Raw genomic sequence first — 27,902 nt, 5'->3', positions numbered from 1 at the left:
AGAGAGAAGAAATACATTCTAGCGTCCAGTAACACAGTAGGGTGACTATAGTTAACAATAATTTATTGTACATTTCAAAATAACTAGAAGAGAAGATATGAAATATCCTCAACATAAAGAAATGATAAATGCTCAGGGAGATGGTTATCTTAAATACCCTGATCATTACACATTCTATGCATGTATCCAAATATCACACGTCCCATGTGAATATGTACAAATATTAGCAATCAATTTTTAAAAAGATTGGGAACTACGGAAACGGAAGCCTCCCTAGTAATGATTAACAGGAGTAAATTACAGGAGCACCTGAGATTTAATTAATAATAATTAATTGTGTATACTGCTTGCATACCTGCTACACGGTAAACATAATAGCACATTGCTTGATTTCTAATAAAACTCTTGAATGGTGTGCTACTCCTATATTCACAGGTGGGGACACAGTGGCTCAGAAACATTAAGTGACTGCCCAAGGACATACAGCCAGTAAGCACTAACCTGCTATTTATATAAAGATATGAGCCACAAAATCACACGGCTGTTACAGGTGAAACAGGATTATACAGTCACGCGCCACATAACGACATTTTGGTCAGCAATGGATCGACATAGGATGGTGGTCCCATAAGATGATGATACTGTATTTTTACTCTACCTTTTCTATGTTTAGATATATTTAGATACACAAATACTTACCATTGTGTTACAGTATTCAGTACGGTAACGTGCCGTAGAGGTTTGTAACCCAGGATCTACAGGCTGTACCATACAGCCTCCGTGTGTAGTAGGCTATGCCATCTAAGTTTGTATAAGTGCACTCTATGATGTTTGCATGACAAAATCACCTAATGACACATTTCTCAGAGTATTCTTGTTAAGCAGTACATAGCTGTATTTACAATTATGTATGCCCTAAAGGGCCACTAGTTAGCATTAATACATGTAAGCCAAGAGGCTTCAGCAGGGAATTCTTCCCCTCCTACAACAATTCTCCTTAGAGCCATAATAATTGAACAAGCTATCCTCTTATTTTCAGAAGGCTACAACTACAGGGGACTGAAAACAAACTAACACGACGTTTGAATTTAAAAAGACAGTAATACTTAGCCACAGCTCTCTCCAAACCACTTGGAATGGTGTTTCCAGTTGTCTGATTAGCAGGGCAGGTGGTTCCACTGCTAGGACTCACTGGGTGTCGGTTCTATCATCCCAGCACCCAACACAGGACCGTTTCAGACACACTGAGACCCAGAAGGAGCCTCAGCTCCCATCACAGGTCCAGTCTGGATGTGGTAGGGTACGAAAGGGAAGCGAGTACAATGATGAAAATCCTGATGGTGACCCCTGAGGCAGAGGAAGGCACAGCTAATGTCTGCCCACTCATGGCTTCCCACTTAACTCTGGGCTCCGCTGCCCACCTGTGGCCTGAGATGGGACGACAGGGAGCGAGAGAAACCCCTCTCTGTTTGGAGACTGCCATCACTCCCAGCCACAGACAGCCCTGATCTGTCTCTATCTCTAGACACAATAGGATCTCACCCACTACGTAGGAAAGGGTGATGTCAATTTGGAAGAGGAAGGCTACAAAAATGCAGCAACAGCCAAACATCTCCTAAGAGCAATTAACCTCAAAATAATTCGTAAGCTGGACATTTCCCATTCTAAGATATACAAAACGAGCAATTCCAGGCATATCTCATTGGTGACAGGAAAAGGAAAGCATATCTTCTGAGATCTTTCCAAATACTCCAACCCCCACAAGATGTGCTCCACTTGATGAACACTGCTTCCTGCAGCTGTTGGTTTTCTCACTGGCCTCCCTGAATCTCCCTCAGTCTGGCCTCGCCCCACAGCCACGCATTTCAAAGGCTAATGAGGTTCCTAATCTGATTTCTCCATCAATCGAGCCCTGGCTTTGCTGCGAGGAAAACGATGCCTTCGCAGCCACCAACACAGTCTGTAGACTGTATATTTAGCCTGGAGATTGAGTAGTTAGTGTACAAACATGTTTTTATCATCTGTAAGCATTCCCAAAATAAGTACCTCTGGGGACGGAATGGAAGTCTGATAGATTCCAGTCCCTAATGTGCTTTGAAATTTTCTTATCACAGAAGGGAGATCGCAGGGCTCTCTTTTTCCCATGCTCAAGATATCTTTTTGGTGACTTCACATTCTATAAGCTATTTTTAGTGGTTAAATACTCGCTTCTTAAGAGCAAAGCTGCCTCTGTCCATTTGTGGTCTGGGAATAAAAAGAATCTCAAAATATCGACAAAGTGTACAGCCCTGTTCTATTGATCTCGTCTGGCTAGAAATTACCTAAATATTTCATCAGAGCAGAAAATATACCTGGCACCTTAAAATACTGGCATAACAGTAGTTCTATATAAACTGGCTTTCTTTAGGGGATAAAAAGTCCTCTTAAAATTTGTTACTGTTCAAAAATTTTTTTTAACATTTTCAAACTGGAAATGATCAATAATTATTTTAAAAAATCAAAATCCTAATGTAAATATTGAAACCAAAAATGTTCCCAAGGCCAATTAACTTAGAGTTTTTTTAAGGATGGGAGAGGTGTGAAGAAGGATAAGATTATACCTAGGATAGGATCAATTTTGGAGTTTTATTGGAAAAATGTATACCAGTGGAATCATGTTTTTAAAAACGTGTAGAGCTTTTTTACCATAAGACACTCCCCTTTGATATCTCTAATGTCATATGTAAAAATCGCTTCATAAGGCTGGGTGAGGTGGCACATGCCTGTAATCCCAGCTACTCGGGAGGCTGAGGCAAGAGAATCACTTGAATGCTGAAGGCAGAGGTTGCTGTGAGCGGAGATCGCGCCACTGCACTCCAGCCTGGGCCACACAGCAGGACTCTTTCTCAGGAAAAAAAAAAATCAATAACATTTGTCCTTCTTTTATTTGCCATATCTGTTTGTTCAACAAGTAGAAAGCCAAATTGTGTTTTAGGGAAAGAAAAAGTGTGGTACAGACAGGACTATATGCCAACCAGATTACAACAGTTTATCAGTTATATCTGAGATTTTGCATAGCCAGTTCTTAAAACACATTTGGACTCTTAATCCTCAAGCAAGAATTTTACATGCATCCATATTGCCTGTTCCCTGCAAAGCAGCACATCTCTGCTGAAAAATGCTCACATCCGCTCCTCTGTTCACTCAACGACAAAACAGGGACATTCGGGCAGTTTTTCAAGTAAAGCTACCCACTGGCTTAGGTGGAATGCGATACCTTATTTCTTTCATTTAACTTCCATTTTGTCTCTGGAAAAATACCTAAGCAAACTGACTGCTTTTTCTGGTAAAGTAGCCATTTCTTTGTGATTGAAAATCATGAACTTTAATGAATGGGGGCCGGAAGGCTGAGCCCTCAAGACCATGGAGCAAGGGAGAGGTGAAGGCAGCTGGAGAGAAATGTGGGAGACTCCACAGAGCCTTCCCAGAAGGACGGGGCGACTTGGGCTTAACCCTGGTCCAGTTCAGGTCAGTGTCAGGGCCCAGAGAGTGCTTATCAGATGGCGGAGAACGGCGGCAGGAGCACAGGTGGCAAGGAATCTTGGAGTCTAGGTAGGAAAAGAGAGCAAAACGCGCTGAAGACAGACACTAAAGGCTGTGGGTATCAGACAGGCCCAGGCCCCACCTGCAGGAGGCTGACTCCCTGTGCCCAAGGCTCACCCGCAGCCAGAGGGAACCTTGCATCTCAGGCCAGCAGGTGGCCTGGGCTCCATCCCATCCCGTCAGCGCTGCTCAGTGGGATCTGCAGCTGCTGGTATACTCAGTGACTTCAGCTGGGAGGGGCAGATAAACATTGCAGAAAATCACTTATTTGCATTCATGACTCTTCCAGATCCTTTAAATTATCTCACTTAGCCATTAAATTATTTTGGTTAGACAGTAATTGTATTCTCTCATTAGCAAAGTGGGAGGTTTAACATTTTGCATTTCATAAGCCTGGAAAAACTGCAGTTCTTAAATCTCTTAGATAGTTAGGTTGTTAAAATTCAGAGTTAAAAAAAAAGCCTACTGCAAAAAAAAAAGAAAAAGAAAAAAAGAAATTAAAAAGTCCCCAGACTTGAGAATATGTACAGTGTTTAACAAATCCCTAAAAGCCTTTCCTGGCCATCAAGGCTGTGGACAGTGGCTCCCCCCGCACCCCCCTGCCCCGCCACCGCAGGTGACCTCTGCTCAGTGGCTCCCAAACCCAGTGCCTCTGGCCAGCCTGGGCTGTTGCGCCTTAGAGCCTGGCACGCCTTGTGCCAGAGTCCAGCATGGCCTTGAAACGTCTTAATCCACCTCTTACATTCATTGACTGTGCTGCACCATTTGACTCTTTCTTTTGAAACCACACTTTTTTCTCTGATGCTGCTCTGCTGGCTTTGTTCTCCAATTCACCCCTTCTCAGCCTTTTCTGCCCGCTCCTTGAGGAATGCCTTCTTCCCAGCTCTGTTTTAGACTTTTGTGTTCCACATTCCACTTGCTCCTCACAGGCAATCACTTTCACACCCATTGTTTCAACGCCCATTTGCATGTGGCAGCCCAGAACTTTCCTTGGAGCCTATAACTCCATAAGAATATCCTGTATGTGCCTCAATGTCTCTGAAATGAATCTCATTTTTTTCACTTGCACATCTCTTTCCTTCTAAAGTTTTACCACGTCTACCAATATGCCAGTCCCACAAGCGAGCCAATACCCACCCAACCTGTAGCCTCGGCAACACTCATTCACAAGTCCTTCAGCTGGGGCTCTCTAGATGTCCTTAGATCTAGACTCTCTCTTCCCCCAGGCCTCTCCTCAGCTGAGGGATGTGTCAGGCTTTGTCCAGATTGTTCCCATGGCCTCCTAGCGTTTTCCTCTCCTGATTTTGCTCCTCTCTGAACTATTCTTCAAGTTGCAGTCAAGTTAATTTATAAGACAACACAATGAATCTATGTTAACCCTGCTTAATATTTTTCATGGATTCCCCATACTGACAGGATAAAATCCAAACTCTTTAGAATGGCATGTATTTTACAGCAGTGCATTTGTTTGCAAAGAACGCAAATGGAGTCTCCCTAAAAGGGGTATTTATGAAAGTCTACAGAGCTATCCTATGGCACACAAAGCAGGAAGTGCACCACCAACGCCCCACTCATGACTCGCATGGCCTCGTCTCCACTTTCCCTGAGTGCCTGTGCTTCTCTCTACAGACCTGCTCAGCTGTACTTCAGGAGGTGGAGAAGAGCTGCTTCAGCCCCTGCTCTCGGTACCTCTGCTCACACATCCATCACACACCAATCAGACCTTTAGTTCATATTTTGGAAGACAAGTCTTACGCTTGTTTCAGCCAAGTCTATTGTTAGATTCCTCCAAGATCACAGAACCAACCCTTGTCCAATCAGCTCTAGCCAGGGACAGCCAGAGACAGGCATGTTAACTTGGCTCACATCTCCAGCAAGGTTGTGAATGATGGGCAGCCCCTGTAAAAAGGCATGTCTTGGGCAGGCGCCCCTAAATTTGAGTACATTGCAACAAGCAGAGCCTTTATTACCCTCTCACTCCCCAACCTTTCAGCCTGATTTCTGCCTGTAGCTCTCCCTTTCCATACCACAGTCCCGCAGTGTCCTGGGTTCCCGATGCATTTCCACTCTTGTTTACATGCACATGTGCTATTTATCTGCTTAGAATGCTTTCTCCTCTCTCCAAAGCTACCCTTGAACCCCAGGAACCATATACTTGGCAAACTACTAGTTGTCCTTCAAAATTCTGCGTAAATGTCACCTTCTCTTTGAACATCCTTAAAATCCACCCCCCTAGAATTAGACGTTCCATCTCAAGGATCCCGTCATGCTTTAAACATCTTCCAGTAGTACTTAAATGCACTGTACTGACATCTTTCATTTCCATCTCTCTTCTTAACAAAGAGCATCCCCTTTTAAAAATATTTTCTTTTATTTTTTTAATTGGCACATAATGTTCATGGGATACATAGTGATGATACATACAATGTATAGTGATCAGATCAGGGTAATTAGTGTATTTATCTTCTCAAACATTTGTCATTTCTCTGTGTTGGGAACATTCAATATCCTCCTTCTAGCTATTTGAAAGCATATCATGTATTATTGTTAACTATAGTCATCCTACAGACCTGCGGAACACCAGGACTACTCATCCTATCTAGCTGTAATTTTTTATCCTTTAAAGAATGTCTCCCTATCTCCCTTTTCCCTTCCTCTTCCCAGCCTCTAGTACCCTCTAAAGAACATCTGTTTTAATAGCAAAGTCCATATTTCTTGGTTACTGCTTAGGCACCAAGCATGGCTCTTGAGACACGACGAGCCTCAAATCTGAGCGGGAAATAAGAGATGAGAAGAGAAATGAAGAGGATTAAGGAGAGGTGTGGTACAGCCAGACTTGTTCTTTGTGTTTTCAGAATCAAACCCTCACTGTCTGTTTGCATGCACAGTATGCCTCTACGGGGCTGGAGGTGTTGACCTAAAGTAAATGTCTGGCCGGTGGGTGGGTTTTGAGCTGCCCTCCCCTCTCCCGCCAGGTTGGCCACTTTCCCCACCCCTTTGTCTCTCCCTTGCTTCATTCTGCAAGACCTCGGTATATCACATCCACTGAGAGACATCTGCACCCCTACTTGAAAGAAGCCTTCTTGGCTGCAGAAGAAATAGCTTTTCTTTCAAGATTCCCATAGCAATTCCTCTGTTGTTTGTTTTTCTGACATTTTGTCTTGTCTGACGTCTTGAAGCACTGGCTTTACCTTCAGTGCCTGTCAATTCCCTGGTTCATGGTGGATTTGCATCAGACTAAGCTTGAGGGCAGGGACCAAAGTTACTTGGCGTGACTCTATATTTCCATATCCTAGCACTGAGCCTGGCAGATAGCAATCAAGCAATAAATGCTATCTGTTACTTTTATTATACTTGCACAATTTCCTGTGACATTCAGGTTTTGTGCCTTCCCCTGCTCTCCTAACCATCACTAACTACCACGTTCCTGCATTTCTCACTGTTCAGGCATCCAACAGGCACATATATTCAAAGAAAGATCAGTGCCTGACCCAAAATCCTTTCAACCAAAGAAAAGAGTAACACATTGATAACTACATGGAATAGAGACATCCTGCCACCAGCAGTCAGGAGGTCCTCTGGTTCAAAAACCACATTTGATGTGTGTACTCCTGGGACCCTCTCTCATGATAGCCGGTTCCCTGCAATTCACTGTGTGCTGGCAACATTTGAATTGAGTTTTGTTCTTTCCTGCCACTCTTCCTCTGCTTATAGTCTTACTGTTTCAGCTCCCTCTGCTGACCCCCTGCTCTGTCTCCTTGCACAGCTGGCCAAGCAGAAAGCAGCCTCTGCTAACTGTCACGTGGCTCAATGCCAGGAGCTCTTTGCCAGTGATTTCTATGCTTTTTAAAAGAGCTCCATAACACTGGCTAAGGAGCCTAAAGTTCTGTTGAGGAGGGTTTTTGTCTCAATCCATTCAGGCTGCTATAACAATAATAGCATAGACTGCATGGCTTATAATCAACGAGCCTTCATTTCTCATAGTTCTGGAAGTTGGGAAGTCTAAGAGTAAGGTGCAGCAGACACAGTGCCTGCTGAGGGCCTGCTTCTTGCATCATAGACAGCTGTCCTCTCGCTGTGTTCTCATGTGGCAGGAGTTAGAAATCTCCCAGGGGTCTCTTATAAGGACGCTAATTCCATTCATGAGGGCTTCACCTTCATGACATAATCAACTCACAAAGGCCCCACCTCCTAATACCATCACCTTGGGGATTAGGGTTTCGAAATATGAATTTGGGGTGACACAAATAGTCCACAGCAGTCCTATTTCTCATTTTTGTGTCACCATTGCTATTTGCCTGGAGTGTGACAGATTTGGATCTGTTCACCAGTGTTCCTTTCAACAATCAGCCTACACGGTTAGGTTGGACATTGTACACAAACTTAAGAATTAGCAGGGAAAGCCAAGAGTAGTCTAGATGATTAAAAAAAAAAATCCCCTATCTGGAAATCAAAATCTCCTAACATTAAGTATGAGTTTATCCATGGAACTAATGTTTTAATTCATTTCTCCAAAGCCATTGATCATTCTAGTGGTAATTATCTGCCTCTGGAAAAGGCTAAAAAAAAAACACTCAGTGATAAAAATGAGTTTTCAGAAACTATTAAATGAAGGGAAAAAAAGGGAGAATAAGAAAATAGTGGATAGAAAGGCAAAGGAAATAAATAGTGAAGAAGTAAATGTTTAAACACAAAAAGTAATATGAAAATAGGAGTATAGGAAGTAGGTCTAGACAGCTAGCATTTAGGAGGAGGTTAAGGTGTCATAAGAGAAAAAGTCAAGCATATTGAATGCTGAAAAAGAAGTTAATATTGATATAGGCATTTTTTTCTACTGATTTCTTCCCTTTTTCTTTCTGGCTATATTGGCTAATGCCGTGTTCCAAACCACTTCAGTGTTTAACCAAGTTGCAGACACTACTGGAACATTAAGAACACATGTAATTGATTTAGTTCCCCCGTTAATGTGAAATTACACTTCCAACTGAACTAAACCAATGAAAAAATACAAACATAAATTTAGGAGAAAACAACACATTCAATTAATATTAGTGTTCCAAGGCTGAAATAAGAAACTGAACATTCTTAATTCCATTCTTGGCCGGGTGCAGTGGCTCATACCTGCAATCTCAGCACTTTGGGAGACTGAGGCAGGAGGATTACTTGAGGTCAGGAGTTCGAGACCAGCCTGGCCAACATGGTGAAACCTTGTCTCTACTAAAAATACAAAAAAATTAGCCAGGCATGATAGCACATGCCTGTAGTCCCAGCTGCTTGGGAGGCTGAGGCAGGAGAATTGCTTGAACCCAGGATGCAGAGGTTGCAATGAGCCCAGATCATGCCACTGCACTCCAGCCTGGTGACAGAGCAAGACTCCATCTCAAAAAAATAAAAAATATAATAAAATAAATTCCATTCCATGCCCTGCCTTCCTTGTGGATCGTTTCATCTTCATATGCTCACTTATTCACCAGTGATACAGAATGGACACTCCTCCCTCATAAGGACCTATTGAGCAAAGTTAAATCTACAATAGGATGTGTCTCTCTGCTTACAGGTAAATTAGATTTGGTGTCTTTGAAGTTGTTAGAAAAATATGACAGCTACACAATGATTAGTATGTATTGTACTCAAACTTTACCAAGAAGCAAAAGCATTCTGTGGACACTCTAAACTTCCTCTCCTACTTTGAAGAGATCTCTAGATTCCATCACACTTGGGACTGCATCAGACCAATACTATCTGCTGTGGCTTGAATGCCCCCTCCAAAACTCATGTTGAAATTTAATTGCCATTGTGATGGTATTAAGAGGTGGGACCTTTAAGAGGTGATTACGTCATGAGGCTCCTGTCCCCCTGAGTGGATTAATGCTGTTACCATAGAAGTGAGCTCCTGATAAAAGGATGAGTTTGAATGATTTCCTATCTCTGTCTTGCACCCTCGCTTGCCATGTGATGCTTTCCACCATGTTATGATGCAGCAAGAAGGCCCTCACCAGATGCAGCCTCTTGACCATGGACTTCCCAGCCTCCAGAACCATACAGCAAATCAATCTTTTTTCTTTATAAATTATCCATTCTGTGGTACTCTGTCGCAGCAGCATAAATGGTCTAACACACCACTCTGTGGTAAATCTGAAACATAAATCCACATCATGATCCTACCTATGTGTCCACAGCTTATCCTGGGATGGAGCAAATTTTCTGGAACATTTGTAAAACTAGATAAACTCCAAAGCCTAACAGGCTCCTGTTGTTTCATAAGAGGTACAGGGAAGCCGCTGGGATGGGCAATAGTCCAGATAGCAAAGCCAAGGACACATCTACAGGCCATCCTAGGGAAGGCCATTTGTCACTGCTGCCCAACAGGCGCACCCACACCCTGGTGGTTGTGATTTCACCAAATACTTGATCAAGGAGCTGAACACTGAAATCAGTGTTCCAAACTGCTTACTACTCCTATTTGTTTGTACTTTCACTGCCTACATGAAAAATTTGTTGATCTTACATTGAATATATAAGTAAACATACAATACTTTTAAAATAAAGAATATTTTTAAGTACTTACGTACTGAAGATTACATATGAAATTACATATGAGATTACCTCTTACATATGAAATATTTGTTTTTTTGAAATATTTCTTTATGGTAGAAATTTATTTAGATTTTTATTTTGACCATTTCTTGCACACTGAAGTCATATTTTAAAATTAGTTTTGGGGAGACAATTCGTGGGTCTCTCACATTTCTGCATGTCTTACAAACAGAAGCACTAGCTATCTTTGCTCTCAGCTGTCTTTTCAAGGAGGCCTTGTATAGCATGGGAAGACAGTGATAGGATCTCCTTCTGGACCAATGGATAAAATTGCTTACAGCCTTGAAAGACAAAGATAGTATCTCCCTCCACAACAAGAGACATATACATGCATGCTGTACAGTATAATAAAAATGACATTTCCTTCCTAGCAAATAGCAAGCATGCCAAGTGCCAATTACAAAAGATTCAGGTTTCCCAAGGTCAACTTCCTCTTTTCTAACACAACCCACTGTATGTTCAGATGTCACTTGGTCACCTTCTCATTGCCTTGGTGGATTAGGGCTGGGGAACTGGCCCAAGAGTGCTTATATTCTGAATACTACTATTGCTATGAATAATAAAATCCTTTGTCTTTGATACAGAAGTCTCATGTCTTCTTCCAGCAATCATAGCAAACTAATTTGTTAGCTTGCAATTTGAGTAAAACATCAGACCCTTCTCAGTTCATAACATGAGTTTTGCTAAAAGTGCATTAAATATGAAGAGGCAAGTGACATATGCATTTTTAAAATATTTTATTCAAAAAAATTAAAATTTCTTTTAAAATCAGGCTCATAGCATGCTGCATTCCCTAACAGCAGATTTATTCAAGAGTTACAGAGTGGTTTTATTTCATATTGTATAAGAAAAAAAGGAATCACACTCTGATTCATATAAACTCTTTTATGACTTCTCCTTTAAGAGATGAGCTTTTTTCAGTCTATGCTAATTGAAGGTTTTCAGCCTGAACTTTCTCCAATTGCTTCCTCTTAATTCAGAAGTGTTCTAAATCTACACTAATCCTTTCTCCTTCTCTTTTGTTCTAGAAGCATTGTGGCAAATCCTTGCAAACTGGCCCCAATGTGTTATGCGGCCACATCTTTGTGCTTTTCCTAGTTCTCTTTCTTATTGAATCTGCCCTGCCCTGTGACCTGCAGAGTACCTTCACTTGATCTTGGAATATGGCAGAAATGATGCGTGAGTCTCAGTGCCTAGGCCTTAAGAGACTCTGCAGCCTTCTCTCACTTGAACCACCATGTGAGAGGTCTGGGCCATGCTGCTGGAAAGGCCACACGGGAAGAGACACACTACGGGATGAAAGAGCATCCACGGCGTTTCAGCCACCCAAGCTAACACAGTCAAGGAGTCAGACCAACCACCTTAGATCCTCTGCTCCAAACTGTGCCACTCGAGATGTGCTCAGCTGAGACGAGTAGAGCAGAGAGAAGACATCTCAGGGGAGCGCAGCCAACACACAGAACTGTGAAAAATAATAAAATGGTGTTGTTTAAGCCTCTAAGTTTTGTGGGGCTTCTGTTTTGTTTTGAGACAGGTCTCACTTTGTCACCCAGGCTAGAGTGCACTGGCGTGAACACAGCTCACTGCAGCCTAGAGCTCCCAGGCTCAAACAATCCTCCTGCCTCAGCCCCTCAAGCAGCTGGGACTACAGGCATGTGCTCCCATATCCAACTAATTTTTTTTTTTTTGTAGAGACAGTGTTTCGCCATGTTACCCACACTGGTCTCAAACTCGTGGGCTCAAGCAATCCCCCTGCCTTGGCCTCCCAAAGTGCTGGGATTATAGTCACTGTGCACCTATAAACTATGAACCACAGCGTCCGGCCATGCCTCCAAGTTTCTGAGGATATTTGTCATATGACAATGCATAAGTGAAACAGACACAACTGTCCCTCTTCTTTTCCGAGACTTGCTCCTTCTGAACTGTTGAGACCCCTCTTTATCTTTCCCTAAAGTCATCATTACCCTGTTTCTCTACTTGCTCCTTTCACTTGTCCTATAATGTACTGTAGTTTCCTCATCCAAAGAAATAAAAGCACCCCTGTAAACGATATTTTCAGGGAACTATTTATCTACATGCTTCCATACACCAATAATTGTCGAGAAAAAATACACTCTACGCTCATTTTACTTCATCTTTACTTCCCATTCAATTCTATCCTCTGGCTGTGCTCTTCTCTTTCTACAGAAAGTAATGGCTTAAAAGCCACATAAAACTTGCTAATCGCCAGTCCTGATCCCAACCCTCACGCATTCGGAACCGTTTAGCATTTGACTCTTGTAACCGCTATATTTTTCAAATTATCTTATTGGCTTCTATGATGATAAGCACCCCTTATTTTCTTGTAACATCTCCAGCTACTCCTTCTTAACATTTTTTTCCAGCTCTTCTTTCTCATCCGACACTCCCCCGAACCCTCTGCTTGAGGCACATCTGCTGACTCTGTCCCCTCCCACTTCTCTGTTTCTTCTAAACTCTGTGATGTCCCTGTCTATGAGTGGCTCAATTCTGTAACGTCAATGACTAAAGTCTGTAATGTTGGGTCCCATGACTGTATTTATTTATTCATTTATTTATTTATTTTTTATTATTATTCTGAGATGGAGTTTCACTCTTGTTGCCCAGGCTGGAGTGCAATGGCATGATCTCGGCTCACCCCAACCTCCACCTCCTGAGTTCAAGTGATTTTCCTGCCTCAGCCTCCTGAGTAGCTTGGACTACAGGTGTGCACCACCATGCCCGGATAATTTTATATTTTTAGTAGAGACAGGGTTTCTCCATGTTGGTCAGGCTGGTCTCGAGCTCCTGACCTCAGGTGATCCACCCTCCTCGGCCTCCCAAAGTGCTGGGACTACAGGCGTGAGCCACTGTGCCTAGCCTAAGTTTGTTGAACTAATTATTGAGTGGATTTAGATCGTCCCCTGAGTTCAGCACTCTTGCTAACTTATACCTATTTGTAAACACTAAATTTAAAATAGGTTTTAAAGAATAGAAATTTCCACATCAGTTTGTTTCATTATGGCTGTGATCACTGGTAGATTTCCTCCCACAGATTCCTTTGGAAATCCTGATAAACCTTGGACCATATCACCACAAGTGGACATAATTACAATTACATTCTGGGTGTTCTTTGTACACCCAGGTTAGCCAAAGTCCATGTTTCTTCTTCCCTTTGCTTATAAATAAAACTACTGTTGCTACGGATGTGTCATCAGAAATATGCTACCAGGAAGTAAAGGAACAACCATAAAAAATGCAACCCAGTGAAAATTGAGCAGCTCCATTCCTGCAGTATATAATTCTGTTTAAAAGAAGATTTCCTGCAGGAATGTGGGATGGAGCCTAAAGTTAAATGACAATGATAGTTGAGTTTGTTGAGAGAAAAGAAAGAAAGAAAATATGAGCTTAGAAGCCACCAAGCCCTTACACGGTGGAATTCTATCGTGATGAGTACTTGAGTACACGAGATAGTCTAAACACTTTCAACTAAAATGATCAGACTTACAGGGAAGACCTTTCACTACATCAAGGAGCAGGAAGGAAGGAAAGATATTGTCAGCTTTTGAAATTCCAATGTAAACAAAACATGGGAAAGTCTTTTACAGGCCGTGGCATACGTTCTTTCTTTTTCCTCTTTAAAAAGTAAAGACGCTGCTTTCCTTAATAGTTAACTAAACCTGGAATGTTTATGACTGATTATTCTGAAGCGATTGTACTCCCCAATCCCTGAATGTTACAATCTAGCATAGAGCGACTGGAAATGGAAAAATAAATAGCCAGGGAAAAAATAACTTGCTGCATTAGCTTTTCTCCCAGAGAAGAATTTGAAACCTGCAACAAAACTAAATGGGGGCCTTCTTCTTCCTTTCTAGGAAGAAAATTCAGGATACCCAAAGACAACAGCCACTCCGACAATACTCTGGACATGCTGGGCTCATAGATAGAACTGAGGGTTTTTTGTTTTTTCCTTTATTTTTTTTAGCCAACTTTAGAAGTTAATCATGTATATGACATTATTATTTCCCCTATTGCCTCAAATATCAAGGGGCTAATTATGTGTTATTCAGACTCGATTTTTTTTCCTGTTCTTTTCCTCTGGTTGCTATTTAACTGGTTTCTGTTTATTAGCCTTTTTATCAGAAAAGACTGACAGGCTGGGGAAAAGGAGGCAATAAAATAAACCAGTTAACTTAGTTACTCAGAATTGTAAGACTTTTTGTAGGAAGCATCTTCTGTTCCATGAGGGAGGGCAAGGATTGACTTTCACACTATCTTCCCAGCATCTAGAACTGCCCGGCGCATGCTAGATATGCAACAGATGTTTCTCAAAGTAAGGGAGAAAGGTGAGTTAAATCAGACCTGGGGATTTGTAGATTACCTAAGATATTCTTGTCTTCCATTTGTATGAATCCTGAGAGTTGGCATCGGTAACAGCCACGAGACATACCTCAGTCTGTGCCCAGCAGTGTCACAGGTTAGCTGTTTGGCTTTACAGCATGGTTGTGACTCCCTGATCCACATCCAAACCCCAGGCTGCTTCAGAGTTTCCAAGGTAGGAGCTTTCAAACTGCTTTTACTGCAACCCAGAGTAAGAAATAAATTTTCTATCAGTACCCAGTACACACACCACACCACAGAGAGAGAGGTGTGTTTTGAAAACCAAAAAAAAACTTTCATGAAATAACACTTAGCCTTACTATGTAAAATATACTGGTCTGTTCTAGTCTATCTCCTTTTTGAGTGCTGTTTGCAACCTACTAGATTAATTTCAGACCAATGAAGAGGTTGTGACCAACAGTTTGAAAATGACCCCTGAGGACCACCTTAGCCAGGCATGAGGAAGGAGGAATGATTGCAGAGTGTGGCAGAGAGGTCTTAAGTCGTATTTCTGGTGCAGAAGATCCATGGAGGAACAGCATCTCAACATCTCTCAGCAAGTGACTGACTTCTAGACCTTCCAGGGCTAGGTAAAAGAATAAAGATTACAATGGTTTCACCAGTTCTGGGTAAAAGAATAAAGGTTGTGATGGCTTCAGATGGGTTTGAAGTTCACACGGCAGCTCTGTAACCAGCCAGAGCCCACGGTTCTTCACAGCAGGGCATCGCTCGGCTTTCGGCACCCCTTGTCACGCACATCAGTCACTCATAGCTAGTGACATGCAGTCTTCGCAGGGCACACATACTTGGGTTTTGAAGGTTATATACAAGTTTCTCAGCAAGTTTCACAATGGTGAAGACAATGTAGCAATATCATTAGCAATGAGAAGAAAAAAATAGTCTTGATGTTGGTATTCGATAGGACTGATGTTAAACACAATTGAGTCACTCTAAGGACTGAAAAATCCCTCTAGGGAACTAAAGCAAATACCTCAAGATGTGGGTGGAGCAGTGGTGCTTTCATTTTCATTATCCAGGTACTGTTTATTCTTGGCTTTCATGCAACCATTCATCAAATACTGTGTGTCTCCTCCATGGCAGGCACTGATCTAACAAGAAGAGGCTCTGTCCTGATGGGGCTGCTTGGAATCTGGGTGATGACACTCTATAGATCATATCAGAAACTCAATGTGCGCCTTTCCTTCATAGAGCATTGTTGCACATCTTTCATAGAGAAAGATAAAACTCACCCTGAAAACTATTTCCAGGACACTCAAATTTGCTAGATGTGAGCACAAGAAGAAATGAGACACGGCGTCGAGTCTACTATAGTAAAAGTGGTGCTGATAAAACCAAAATCATTTTCAGCCCACCTAACCTTCCTGCTGTTTCTCTAGACACACTTTATTCCTTCACCAAAATTGCATTGAGTGTCCTCCCTATGCAAAATGCTGTGTTAGGACTGGCACCCAAAGATGCAAGACACAGCCCCTGCCCTGACAGTGCTCACAGGGGAGTGTGGAGACAGGCACACACACGATTTCCAGTGTCACTTCATGAGAGCTATAAGGAAATGCGAGAGAGTGCCATAAACGCGTAAAGAGAGGAACGCTTAAATCAGCAAAAGGAAGTCAGAGGCTTTTGCAGAGGACATGGTGCTTGAGCACGGAAGGATGAGCAGCAATGTGCCAGATGGACAAGAAGTAGGGGTACTAATGACGGCGGGAACAGCACATGCAAAGTTACGGAGCATGAAACGAACATTCCAGCTGCAGAAAGGGCCAGTAGTTCAGTGAGAAGAGCTGAAGGTTAGGCTGGTAGTGGCCTTGTAGGCCTTGCTCAGAGAGAGATCTAGAGGAAGGACATTGATTTGAGAGTCATCAAGAAACAACTGTCACTTAAAGCCTTGGACATAGCTGCGGATTTCTAGGAAGATGAAAGAACATGAGATGCTCATAATTCCCAGTGTTTAACTTACACCGGAGCGATTGCGCCCTTGTTATACTATTCCCTAGTCCTAGCCAACCACATCCTCATCACGCTAATATTTATCAAGACTCTACCAGGACTTTCACATGTAGCATCCTCTTTAATCCTCACAACAGCCCAATTAAACAGGTCCTATAATTTGTCTCGTTTATCCAAGAGCACAGATCCAGTGATACAGTCTGGCTCTAAACCACCAGGCAGTCTGACTCCAGAGCCCCTGGGCATGCAGCCACTATGCAATCCTGATATATCTGTAGAGGGGTGGCCTGTACCACGTCCCCAGGCTTTTTCACCTAGATAATAAATGCTGTCTACAGAGCGCTGACTTGCAGTGCCCTAAAGGAGAGGAGTAGCATTCTGCCTGCCTGAGCTCTCTTCACTTGAGTGTTTATTATCGGAACTCTCTTGTTTCTAGAATTATTTCTCACTGTTTCTCCTAGGCTACCTTTGAAACTTCTTTAAATCTTTTAACCTAGATCAGCTGTTGCTATTTGGCATTTATTGTTGCATAATTTGCAAGGTGCAGAATTAGGACTTAGTAGGATCCTCTGAAAACCTACAGGAAGAAATCACTTCCAGTGCATTCTGCAGTGGGAACCACCGTGACAACGCTGGTGCTTGTCTAAGCTATAAATTTCCTGGGAAATGGAGCTTAGTTTTTACTTACAACAACTGTTGAGTATAAATCAAACGAAAACTTCTGAAGCCAGATGCCTCATTTGTTATTTTAACATGCATTTTATTTTCTAAAACGTCCATGTTATCTTCTCCACTAGGAAACTGAGTCGCTGAAATAATTTCTGTGTATTTGTGGGTAGAAGCCTTCATGGTCAATCAACACTCACTTGTCCTGTGAACTTGAACTCTTGTGTGATTTTACTGGTGACTGGATTCAAAAGTTATATCTAGCTAGCTGTGGGACAGTGCCAAATTCAATAGCTCTCACAGAAGTCACAAAAATGCTCAGCAGAATGGGTAATAAAGTAGTTCCTTTAAAGTTAAATGAGTCATAATTCAGCATGAAGTAGACTGATTAGGGAAACACAAGTTGGCGGTTGGTTGGGGTCCTGGAGTCATCTCAGCAATCAAGACGGTTCTGATGGCCGTTGGCACTAATACACAGTAGGATGGCTCATGTCAAGAGTCCATTCAAACACTTATGGGTTCAGAGATTCAAACCCAACTTCAACCTTTTGGTGTTTGAGTTTGTTAACTGTTGGCTAAATGCCACTTCCTGTTCCTAAGAAAAGAGGCTTGAAAAAGTCTCATAAAAAATGACTTAAAAGGCTTCCCTGACTTCAAAGTGTTCTTACAAAACAACATTTTGATGAGTTAAGTGTAAGGGAATCAGAAACATACGGATTAAATTTCCCTTAATAGAGTCATGTGTCTAAAAATGGAGGAAGGCAAAAATGGCAAGTTTGTCATGCTCAACGTGTTTCAAAAAATGTCCAGAGTAGCTATTGATCCCTGAGTAATCAAATCCTTCCATTCCAATATAACACCAACATCATAATATCTAGAAGAGCATGTCAAAGGGCCCAAGTGAATAAAGACAAACACATTTGTGCAGGTCAAGCTATACCAGGTCACCCTCTCTAAGGCCCATTATCCCAGCCTCCACTCGAAAGGATAATGGCAGTGTCACAGGACAGAGCCGCAAAGAACAAAGAGAATTTCCAAACCATGCCTCTCACTCAGCTCAGCAATTGTCATCAACTCGCCACACTGACGCATTTAAAGCTGACTTTACTGTCTGAATGAAGAGAATACAAACCAGCACTCATTAACCATGAAGTGTCTTGCAAAAGGCAACAGTACCTGTATGTATTTAATTTCCACATCATTAATCATGATTCTGTGGGTTTCTAACCTTTGAAAATAAATAAACTAATTATGATTTTCCAAGAGAGGAAAATGTCTTTGGGCAAGAATATAAGTGCAGAATATAGAAAGAAATAAAAAACATTTGAACCAGTGATGAACAAATACAAACTCTGGTCAAGAATTACTGCTTGTCAATTTTGCCACTAATTTAACTGACAGCTAATACCTGATTTATTCTGTGTTTGAACACTTTATTAGAACAAAGCATTTAACCTTGGAGGGCAAATGAAAACAAGACCATACATGTTTGGCAGAGAGCATTCGATATCAATGGATATAAGTTTTGCTAACTATTAAATACTCAATGTAACTCAAGTTAATATTTTGTATTTGGCCAAATATAATTGAATGAATTTTTAAAACAGTATTGCACAAGATGGATCCTCTGTGGTTATGGCTGACTCAGACCATAAAAGAAAAATTTCTAGAAGTGGACATTTTTTATTTTAATTTGCTTGTGACACGAACTGCTACATCACCACATAAATGAGCTGCCTTCTTAAAAAAAAAACTGGTGGGAAGAATAGAGCCAAATCAATTGAATCCATAAGTACTTTTTCTAAATAGCACAGTTTTATTTATGTCAATACATTTCTTAGAAAAGAAAATGAATAGAACCTTCGAATATTGGCTTAAGGAATTTATTTATGTTTATATGTAATTCCAATGAAAGTAGATTGGGAAATGAATATATAAAATTAACTAAATATTACTATTTTATTATTTTTCTTTCAGTATATCTTTAAATTTTATTCAGGTAGACATGCACTATTTTAGCAGCTACCTTGCGATTGAAAAATCAACTGCAGATTTTTCTTTCTTTCTGTGTCAAAAATCACACTATCCCTAAACATATCCCATGACCCAAAGACCCCAGACTAAGGACCAACCTGGCCATGTTTCTATACCTCAGCAGAGTCTGGGGGTCCAGGGAGTATTGCCAATGATGTCACCTAATTTTAGCGTTAGCTACTAGGACAGAATTTTGAATGCTCCATGAGAGAAGAGATTTAGGAGACCTGCTGAACCAATTGCTAAAGACGAATATAATGTCAAGAGGACCAAGAAATCGCTAATATTACATAAGTGCTCAAAGCAGTGATTTTGCTTAATTGCTTACTAAATCCCTGGAGGGAAATATTTGCCTTGATGGATCTTGATTATCACTGAATTTACTGTGTCGTGCTTGAGAAGAGGCGATAGGCATAGAGCATTCCCACAGCGGACACAACAAATACCCTTTCTTTCAATAAAGCTGATATGCAATTTCCTGTCCCTCATTCTTCTCTAAGTCTTGCAGTTATCTCCCCAATTTCCTTTTCGTACATCTTGAATATTTTTTCAAGGTGTCTTTATACGTATTGAGTAGGTATGCTCTCATATAACACAATTGCAGGCCAGGAAGCCTTTAATCCAGCAAATTCCTCCCCTTCCAGGAATGCGGCACTTGAAATTCCGCTCTTAGAGAACCACTGACGTGGGTTAAATATTGTACCCTGAGGTTTTCCTTCTGAAATTTATACCCTTCCCGAAGGGCTGGGAATGGAGCCACTAAAACCTCGGCGTTAATTAACTCATCAAGAGCTCTCGGTCTAGTTGGGGAATACAGAGTGTCTGTGAGGATGAGAAGGAGAAGAAGGGGCAAGGTGATTCTAAGACAAGTTTTGCCAAATGTGCAGCTTTGCCTCCAACTAGTCCCACCGCATATCCCCCAGGCTGTCATCTTCTACCACCAAAATCACGTTTCTTCCATATTGTAGAACAATTTTTACATGTATCTTTAAAACTTGTGTTATCTGAACATCAAATTCAAATAACGCAACGTCATGGAGGAGTCCCCCGAAAAGGGGCGGCAGCAGCCACACCTCTCGCCGGGGCTGAGCGCTCCTTCCGCACAGCTAGACTGCGTTGATGGCCGCTGTGTTTCCTTTACTGAGAGCCTGTTTCCTAGACTCGCAAAGCCGTAACTGGAAGGAAAGTGGGGTGATGAATAAACCTGTAAGGAGTTGGTTTTAACATGGGTCTGGGTCACGTCTGGGATCAAAGCAGCAGGCAACATTGAGAATATGTTCGCAATTCATACAGCAAAGTGTCTCACCCTCTTCAAGGATCTTCCAGCGGTGGTGAGATAATCTTTTTCTCACAGAGGAAGTTCAGTTCACTTTAAAAAATTGTAATTTTTTTTTGTTTTGAGACGGAGTCTCGCTCTGTCGCCCAGGCTGGAGTGCAGGGGCGCGATCTCAGCTCACTGCAAGCTCCGCCTCCCGGGTTCCCACCATTCTCCTGCCTCAGCCTCCCGAGTAGCTGGGACTACAGGCCCCGCCACCACGCCCGGCTAATTTTTTGTATTTTTAGTAGAGACGGGGTTTCACCATTTTAGCCGGGATGGTCTCGATCTCCTGACCTCGTGATCCGCCCGCCTCGGCCTCCCAAAGTGCTGGGACTACAGGCCCCGCCACCGCGCCCGGCTAATTTTTTTGTATTTTTAGTAGAGACGGGGTTTCACCGTGTTAGCCAGAAGGGTCTCGATCTCCTGACCTCGTGATCCGCCCGCCTCGGCCTCCCAAAGTGCTGGGATGACAGGCGTGAGCCACCGCGCCCGGCTGTATTTTCTCTTTAGAGTAGATCTGGTATACTAATTTGAATCTCTGCTTTGGTTATAGCTAAGTGAAAATGATATATTTGTATGGGTATAAACTAAAAAAAGAGAATAGAGAAATGAAGAAATTTGATGTGTTAGGATAGTGAACATTGGGAGTTATTTTTCCAGCTATAATTGTTGCAATTGTGTGGAGTTGTTTTTGGTTAAGAAGAATTCTAACGTGAATCCTTTATTTTAAGCCTTGTCTTTGTTATACACTGTATAATATATGGGATTGCTGAAACTTCTGAACTATTCTAGCAGGAGATGACTCAGTAAGTTCCACAAGCTTCTTTCTTGTATCTGGATCAAAGTGCCCTCAATATTCAGCCAACATTCTGTGGTTATCATCTCCGCCTATAAAATAGTCATCTAGGCCAGGCACAGTGGCTCACACCTGTAATCCCAGCACTTTGGGAGGCCAAGGTGGGCGGATCACAAGGTCAGGAGTTCGAGATCAGCCTGACCAATATGGTGAAACCCCGTCTCTACTAAAAATACAAAAGTTAGCCAGGCGTGGTGGCAGGCGCCTGTAGTCCCAGCTACTCGGGAGGCTGAGGCAGGAGAATTGCTTGAACCCGGGAGGCGGAGGTTGCCGTGAGCCGAGATCACGCCACTGCACTCCAGCCTGGGTGACAGGGAGAGACTCTGTCTCAAAAAAAAAAGAAAAAAGAAAAACAAAAAAAAAATCATCTAACACCCATGCAGAAGAGAAACTGAGGCTCAGCCCAAATCCCCAGAAAGCATAGGAGGGCTCAGTCAGACAGGGAGCAATGGGCCAGAGACCTGGAAAAACACAGACCCAGTCACCATAGTAGTCACAAGACAGAAACTCCCTGACACAGAGTAAGAAATATTTAATATTGGAGCCATCAGTAAAGCAGGCTCACAACCGATTTATTTTGGTCAAATGCTAATAAATTCCCTGAATTCTGGAAACTAGAACAGTGCCAGGACCTGGGTTGGGCTAAACATCCGAGGTCCGGGTGAGGAGACACTAAGTGACTGCAGTTGAGAAGCTGGATGGGAGTCAACCAAACCAGGCATCCTTGCTGGTTAGTCCTTCCTCGTCCTCCTCTTCCTCCCTTGGAGTAGAGACTTGTAAGAGTATGCTCCTACCTCCAACCCTTCACTCAGTTATTCCTAGCTAGAATGTTCTAGGCCTTCCCTCTTATGCTTTATTTTTTCTCTATTTGAAAGGCTCAAAGCCACTTCCATTTGTTGCAGAAGGAAATTCCAAGCTTTCTACCCAACATCAATACTGCGCACCCCATGTATCCCATCATGGTAGTGCCCAGAAAATGTTTTTGTTACTCTTAGGATATTTATTTAACATACTGTAACTGGAAGGAAAAAAAATATTATATTTACATTTGGTATATATTTATATGTTATTGTGTTTATTTAAAATGTTATTTTTATTTATATTAATCACACTAATAATAATGGCACAATTATAATTAACTCTGAAAAACGGGAATAATAATATGACTGGTCTTCACAAATTTAAATTGCATTCCCTTGTTTAATAAACTGGGGTCTGTGTTTGATGTGCAATGGGATCTTAAATTGCTATTACATTCTGTCATTTTAGGGCAGTTGGTCACCCTGGCAGGAAACTATCTGGGGGCAGAACTCCTTCAAACCTGCAGGTGGCTGAGTCCCGAGCCTCTGTTTACAGCACCCAGGCTCTCCTCCACATCACTGAGGCCTGCCACAGATCCCTGGCTTGAGTTCTGAACCACCCTTTGATGGATTCTATTCTTCCTTCAGTCCTTTTCAAATCACCCTCCTCTCTGACCTCCTGAATCATATCTCCCTTTAGTTTTCCATCAAATCTTGCTGCTGCTTCAAACTTTTGTTTCCTTCTCAAGCATGATTCAGCCTCTTCTCACTGACTATAAAACAATTAAGTATAGATATCATCTATCCACATTAGCACCCAGGGCCCATACCTCAGCTGGGCCCAGACTATGGCATGCCCTCCAGGTGGAATCAAAGGGAAGTGATGTCCTGCCCCACCAGAGAGAACCTGATTCCCACCCCAAAATAATAACAGCAATAATAATCATTCAAGATTATCCGCAAAGAAAAGAACGTGAAAAGTAAATTTGGAATAAAATTAAAATTGCAATACTTTTATTAACATATATGATAAAGGGGGAAGTTTTCATATTGTGTTTAGATTTTATTGTTCATTTTCAATTTTTATTTTATCACTAAATAATAATGTTTTAACAGAAGAATTTTGGGGGCTTGTTCTGTTTTGTTAATGTTACTTAATTTCTCATACCCTTCTCTAAACTCTACTTGTTATTCAATAAATAGGTAAATAACTTCCTGTAGAGAATTGAAAGGGCAGTTCAACATGCTGAGTTCAATGACTGAAATCATTTGACTTTAAGGTACTAAAATACTATTAAATGAAACTCTTCGTTCAACTACTTAATATGGAAAGAATTAAGCTTCAAAACTGGCTTTATGATGCCACATGTGATCTTCCCCCAAAATTAAAACCTTAGTGCGGTGACTTGTCATAGCATTGAGAAAGAACAGACACCTATTTTGCATTCTGAAATAAATATAATTCACAAATGCATGAGTGGGTGTGTACTTAGACTAATGAAGACAGTTAAATCCATTGTTATTGAAAAAATGCATGGGATTCTGCTGGCTGTATTCCCTTTTGGGTCTTGAGCAATGGATTTCATTTATACCTAAAAATTCCATCTTCTGGCCAGGTGCAGTGGTTCACGCCTGTAATCCCAGCACTTTGGGAGGCTGAGGCAGGCGGATCACTTGAGGTCAGGAGTTCGAAACCAGTCTGGCAAACATGGTGAAACCTCATCTCTACTTAAAATACAAAAAATTATCTGGGCATGGTGGTGGATGCCTGTAATCCCAGCTACTTGGGAGGCTGAGACAGGAAAATCGCTTGAACCTAGGAGGTGGAGGTTGCAGTGAGCTGAGATAGCGTCATTGCACTCCAGCCTAGGCAACAGAGACAGACTCCATCTCAAAAAAAAAAAATTCCATCTTCTACAGTACATAGTATTTCCTTTCAAAAAATATATATATAACTTATATGTAATATATATACATATATACAAAGATATATATTTATATTATATAGTAAATACATATATGTAATATATGTGTATGTATATATTATATATACATACACATATTACATATATTGCATATATGTATGTGTATGCTATTATATATTATATATGTGTGTATTATGTATATAAAATGTATGTATATATTATGTATATAATATACATAAACATAATATAAATATATAATATAATACATATAATTTTATTTAAGTATAAATATATAATATAATATATATAATTAAATATATATACATTATAATATAACATATATTTATACTAATTACATTAATGTAATTTATATATGTATTTTATATACATATGTGTATACATATATTTATTAATATGTATTATATATTGACATATTTATATAATTGTATAGTATATTAATGAAAAATTAATATAAAAATAATTGATAAATGATATTAATACAATATGTTATATATTATCTATTATAATACATATTATATATTATAAAATTTATATAATATATATAATATTCATGAACTCATGAATCATATCTCCCTTTAGTTTTCCATCAAACCTTTGCTGCTGCTTCAAAGTTTTGCTTCCGTCTCAAGCACAATTCAGTCTCTTCTCACTACACATATTGTTTATATATAATACATATGTTGTATATTATATATGACATATTATATATTATGTAATTATATGTTTTGCATATATAATATGTATGTAGTACAGATACAAAATATATATATATTTCCAGTTGACCCTTGAACAAAGCAGGCGCTGGCGCCCCAACCCCCATGCAGTCAGAAATCAGCCTATCACTTTGGACTCCCAAAAAAGTTACTTACTAATAACCTACTATTGACTGGAAGCCTTACCAATAATGTAATTGATTAACACATAAATAGATTAGTATGTACATATATTTTATGCATTAATGATGTAACTTTTTCTTAATTTTTTCAGTATTCCTAGGCTACATGATTCATCTGCAAGTTTTTTTCAAATTGTCACAAATCTCCAAAAAACTTTCCAATATATTTATTGAAAATGTCTGCCTATGAGTGCACCCACACAGTTCACATCTGTGTTGTTCAATCGTCAACTGCATCTGGATAAACAATCAGGATCATATTCCACTTTTCTACTGGTAGGTACCAAATCAATCATAGAATAGAGAAAGTGAATTTTCCTGTTCTAAGGCCTAGAAGCTTGTAAAGAGAGAGAGATGTGCCAGTGTCCAAAAGTACACACACACACAAACATGCACACACACACACGCACAGACACACAAACATGCACACACACAAACATGCACACACACAAACATGCACACACACAAACATGCACACACATGCACACACAAACATGCACACACACATGCACATACACACAAACATGCACACACACAAACATGCACAAACATGCACACACACATGCAGACACACAAACATGCAAACATACACATGCACATACACAAACATGCACACACAAACACGCACACACAAACGCACACAAACATGCACACAAACATGCACACACACACAAACATGCACACACACAAACATGCACAAACTTTTTTCAATAATGAGTCAGCCAAGTAACAATCTTTTCTGTTCAAACGAGGATCTAAAAATAGTATGTGTAATTCAGCCCAAAGTCTTTTTGCAGAGACAAAAACTGCATTCTAAATCCCATCGAAAACTTCATACCAAAATTTAAAATTTATTCTAACTACCTATATTCCTTTCTGTCAATAAAAATTACGCTCTTGCAATCAATAATTTGAATAAAAATTGGAATTGTTTCCAACACTGGCATTGTACTTCTTTGGCTTTTATCAGAAGTTTCACCAAAATGAAACAGGCATTTTTAAAAAGCGGAATGACACATTTGTGGCCTGAGATAAAAGGTGGAATCTGCTGCCTTGTTGCCTGCTCCCTCTCTCTCTCTCAGGTTCACTATCTGTCAAGTCACAAACCTAAGTAAAAGGTGATGTAAACTATAAAGGCAGGTCAGCAACTACCAAATAAAAGTATTCTACTCTACTCAGAAGGCTGTTTTCTTTTTTGCCATTTTTGTTGAGACAAATTGCACTAACATATCATCCACATAGTTGGAAGTAACCAGGGTTTTCTTCACCTATAGAAAAATCAGCTAATTGGATTTGTCATTGCATGTCATAAGCACAAGATTTAAATACAAACTGGAAAGAAACACGTTCAATTGATAAATAGCAGAAATCACTTTTGAGAGTGATTATATGGGAAGCAGTTATAAGTTTCATTTTTTGGCCTAGAAACTTAAATTTTTACATGGAATAAACTGGGCATAAATCATATATTAAAGTAAAAAGGTTTATCCTAGTGGCTGATTTAAAAAACATTAATTTGAACTCAACTTATTAAATTTACTTACAATTTAAAGTGGATAATTCAGATAATTATCTGGAAAGTAGAATTTTGTTGAAAACATCCTCACACTGAAGTAAAGGTATTAGCAGATTTGATTTATTTCCACCCTTCTTCATCTTCCTCTTTATCATTGTCATCATCTTCTTTTGCTTTGGTAAATACAATGAAATTACTATACTTCCAACTCCATAGTGTAAAAACTCATAGCACCCTCTCTCTGGCAACATACAAACATAAGCTCTAATCCTAGTACGAACCAAATACATAACCTTCATAAGAGTGTTCTTCAAGATAGAATATTAGTAAGTTGGCTACATTTTTGTACACTTTCTACATATACTTTGATTGGAAATAATTAATCCTAAAAAATATACAAAACTGCACAACCTATAGGATGTTTTTACAGAGAACTTTAAAATTCCACAGTCATAAGGTGAAAATCTCACCTCCAAAGGAATTATTCCTTTGGGTGTACCTGGAAGACAAAGTTAAATGAAGAATTGTTGGAGTTTATTACATGACATTATCAAGTCTAGAAGTACAATATAGGGTAAAATATGAAGTAACTGATTCTTAAAAGTTCTTTCTCAGCCAGGCGCAGTGGCTCACGCCTGTAATCCCAGCACTTTGGGAGGCCGAGGCAGGCAGATCACCTGAGGTCAGGAGTTCGAGACCTGCCTGGCCAACATGGTGAAACCCCGTCTCTACTAAAAATACAAAAAGTAGTCAGGCGTGGTGCAGGTGTCTATAGTCCCAGCTACTTGGGAGGCTGAGACAGGAGAATTGCTTGAACCTGAAAGGCAGAGGTTGCAGTGAGCCGAGATCATGCCACTGCACTCTAGTCTGGGGGACAGAGTGAGACTCCATCTCAGAAAAAAAAAAAAAAAAGTTATTTCTTTATTCTGAAGTCCAGTCTCACAGCAGTAGGAAGTATATGCTTGACTCTGGTGAATCGCGTTCCTATATTTAATGGTCTGCCAAAATGTGAAATCAGGAAGGAATTTTTCCTGAGAGCACTTTAGAGTAGACATTGGGTAGTTCCAATTTTTTTTCCCGCTGCTCTGAGTTAGGATCTGTGAATGGGGATTGATGTTAGTGAAGACTCAAATCAATATGAAGAGGCGATTGTCTGCATCGTCCTTCCTGTCCAGCTCTGTGCCTCCCTCTAAGACATAGCATGTGCAATATCATTTCATCTGCAAGCTCCTCAGTGGGTGAATGAGTGTTCACTAAGTTATAGCTTCCTCGGTGCTGGAAAATTGGTGTCACATGCTTTGTAGAAGCTGGTAGTTAGACCATGAGGACCTGCTGTGCTTACAGAGG

The 27,902-nt window shown here is 40.6% G+C and overlaps 1 long non-coding RNA gene across 6 annotated transcripts in view, besides 2 other annotated features; it reads right to left on the bottom strand.

Moving 5' to 3' along the window:
• The window catches only part of LOC102723906 (uncharacterized), a 220,555-nt gene that overhangs the window by 110,650 nt on the left and 82,003 nt on the right, over positions 1–27,902 (bottom strand). The window lies entirely within an intron of this gene.
• Positions 3,127–3,914: an enhancer, noted in NCBI's record as "H3K4me1 hESC enhancer chr4:187867807-187868594 (GRCh37/hg19 assembly coordinates)". NCBI's record gives its function as "activates a minimal SCP1, AML or CMV promoter by ChIP-STARR-seq in naive H9 embryonic stem cells {active_cell/tissue: H9 hESC(naive)}" and the evidence as "EXISTENCE:reporter gene assay evidence [ECO:0000049][PMID:30033119]".
• Positions 14,597–15,796: an enhancer, noted in NCBI's record as "BRD4-independent group 4 enhancer chr4:187855925-187857124 (GRCh37/hg19 assembly coordinates)". NCBI's record gives its function as "activates an origin of replication core promoter dependent on BRD2, P300/CBP, MED14 and CDK7 cofactors, and independent of BRD4, by STARR-seq in HCT116 cells {active_cell/tissue: HCT116}" and the evidence as "EXISTENCE:reporter gene assay evidence [ECO:0000049][PMID:35650434]".

This window comes from Homo sapiens, chromosome 4, assembly GCF_000001405.40.
Source record: "Homo sapiens chromosome 4, GRCh38.p14 Primary Assembly".
Taxonomy (NCBI): Eukaryota; Metazoa; Chordata; class Mammalia; order Primates; family Hominidae; genus Homo; species Homo sapiens.
Note: the sequence above shows the minus strand (reverse complement) of the source record. Positions and strands in the feature narration are given on the sequence as shown.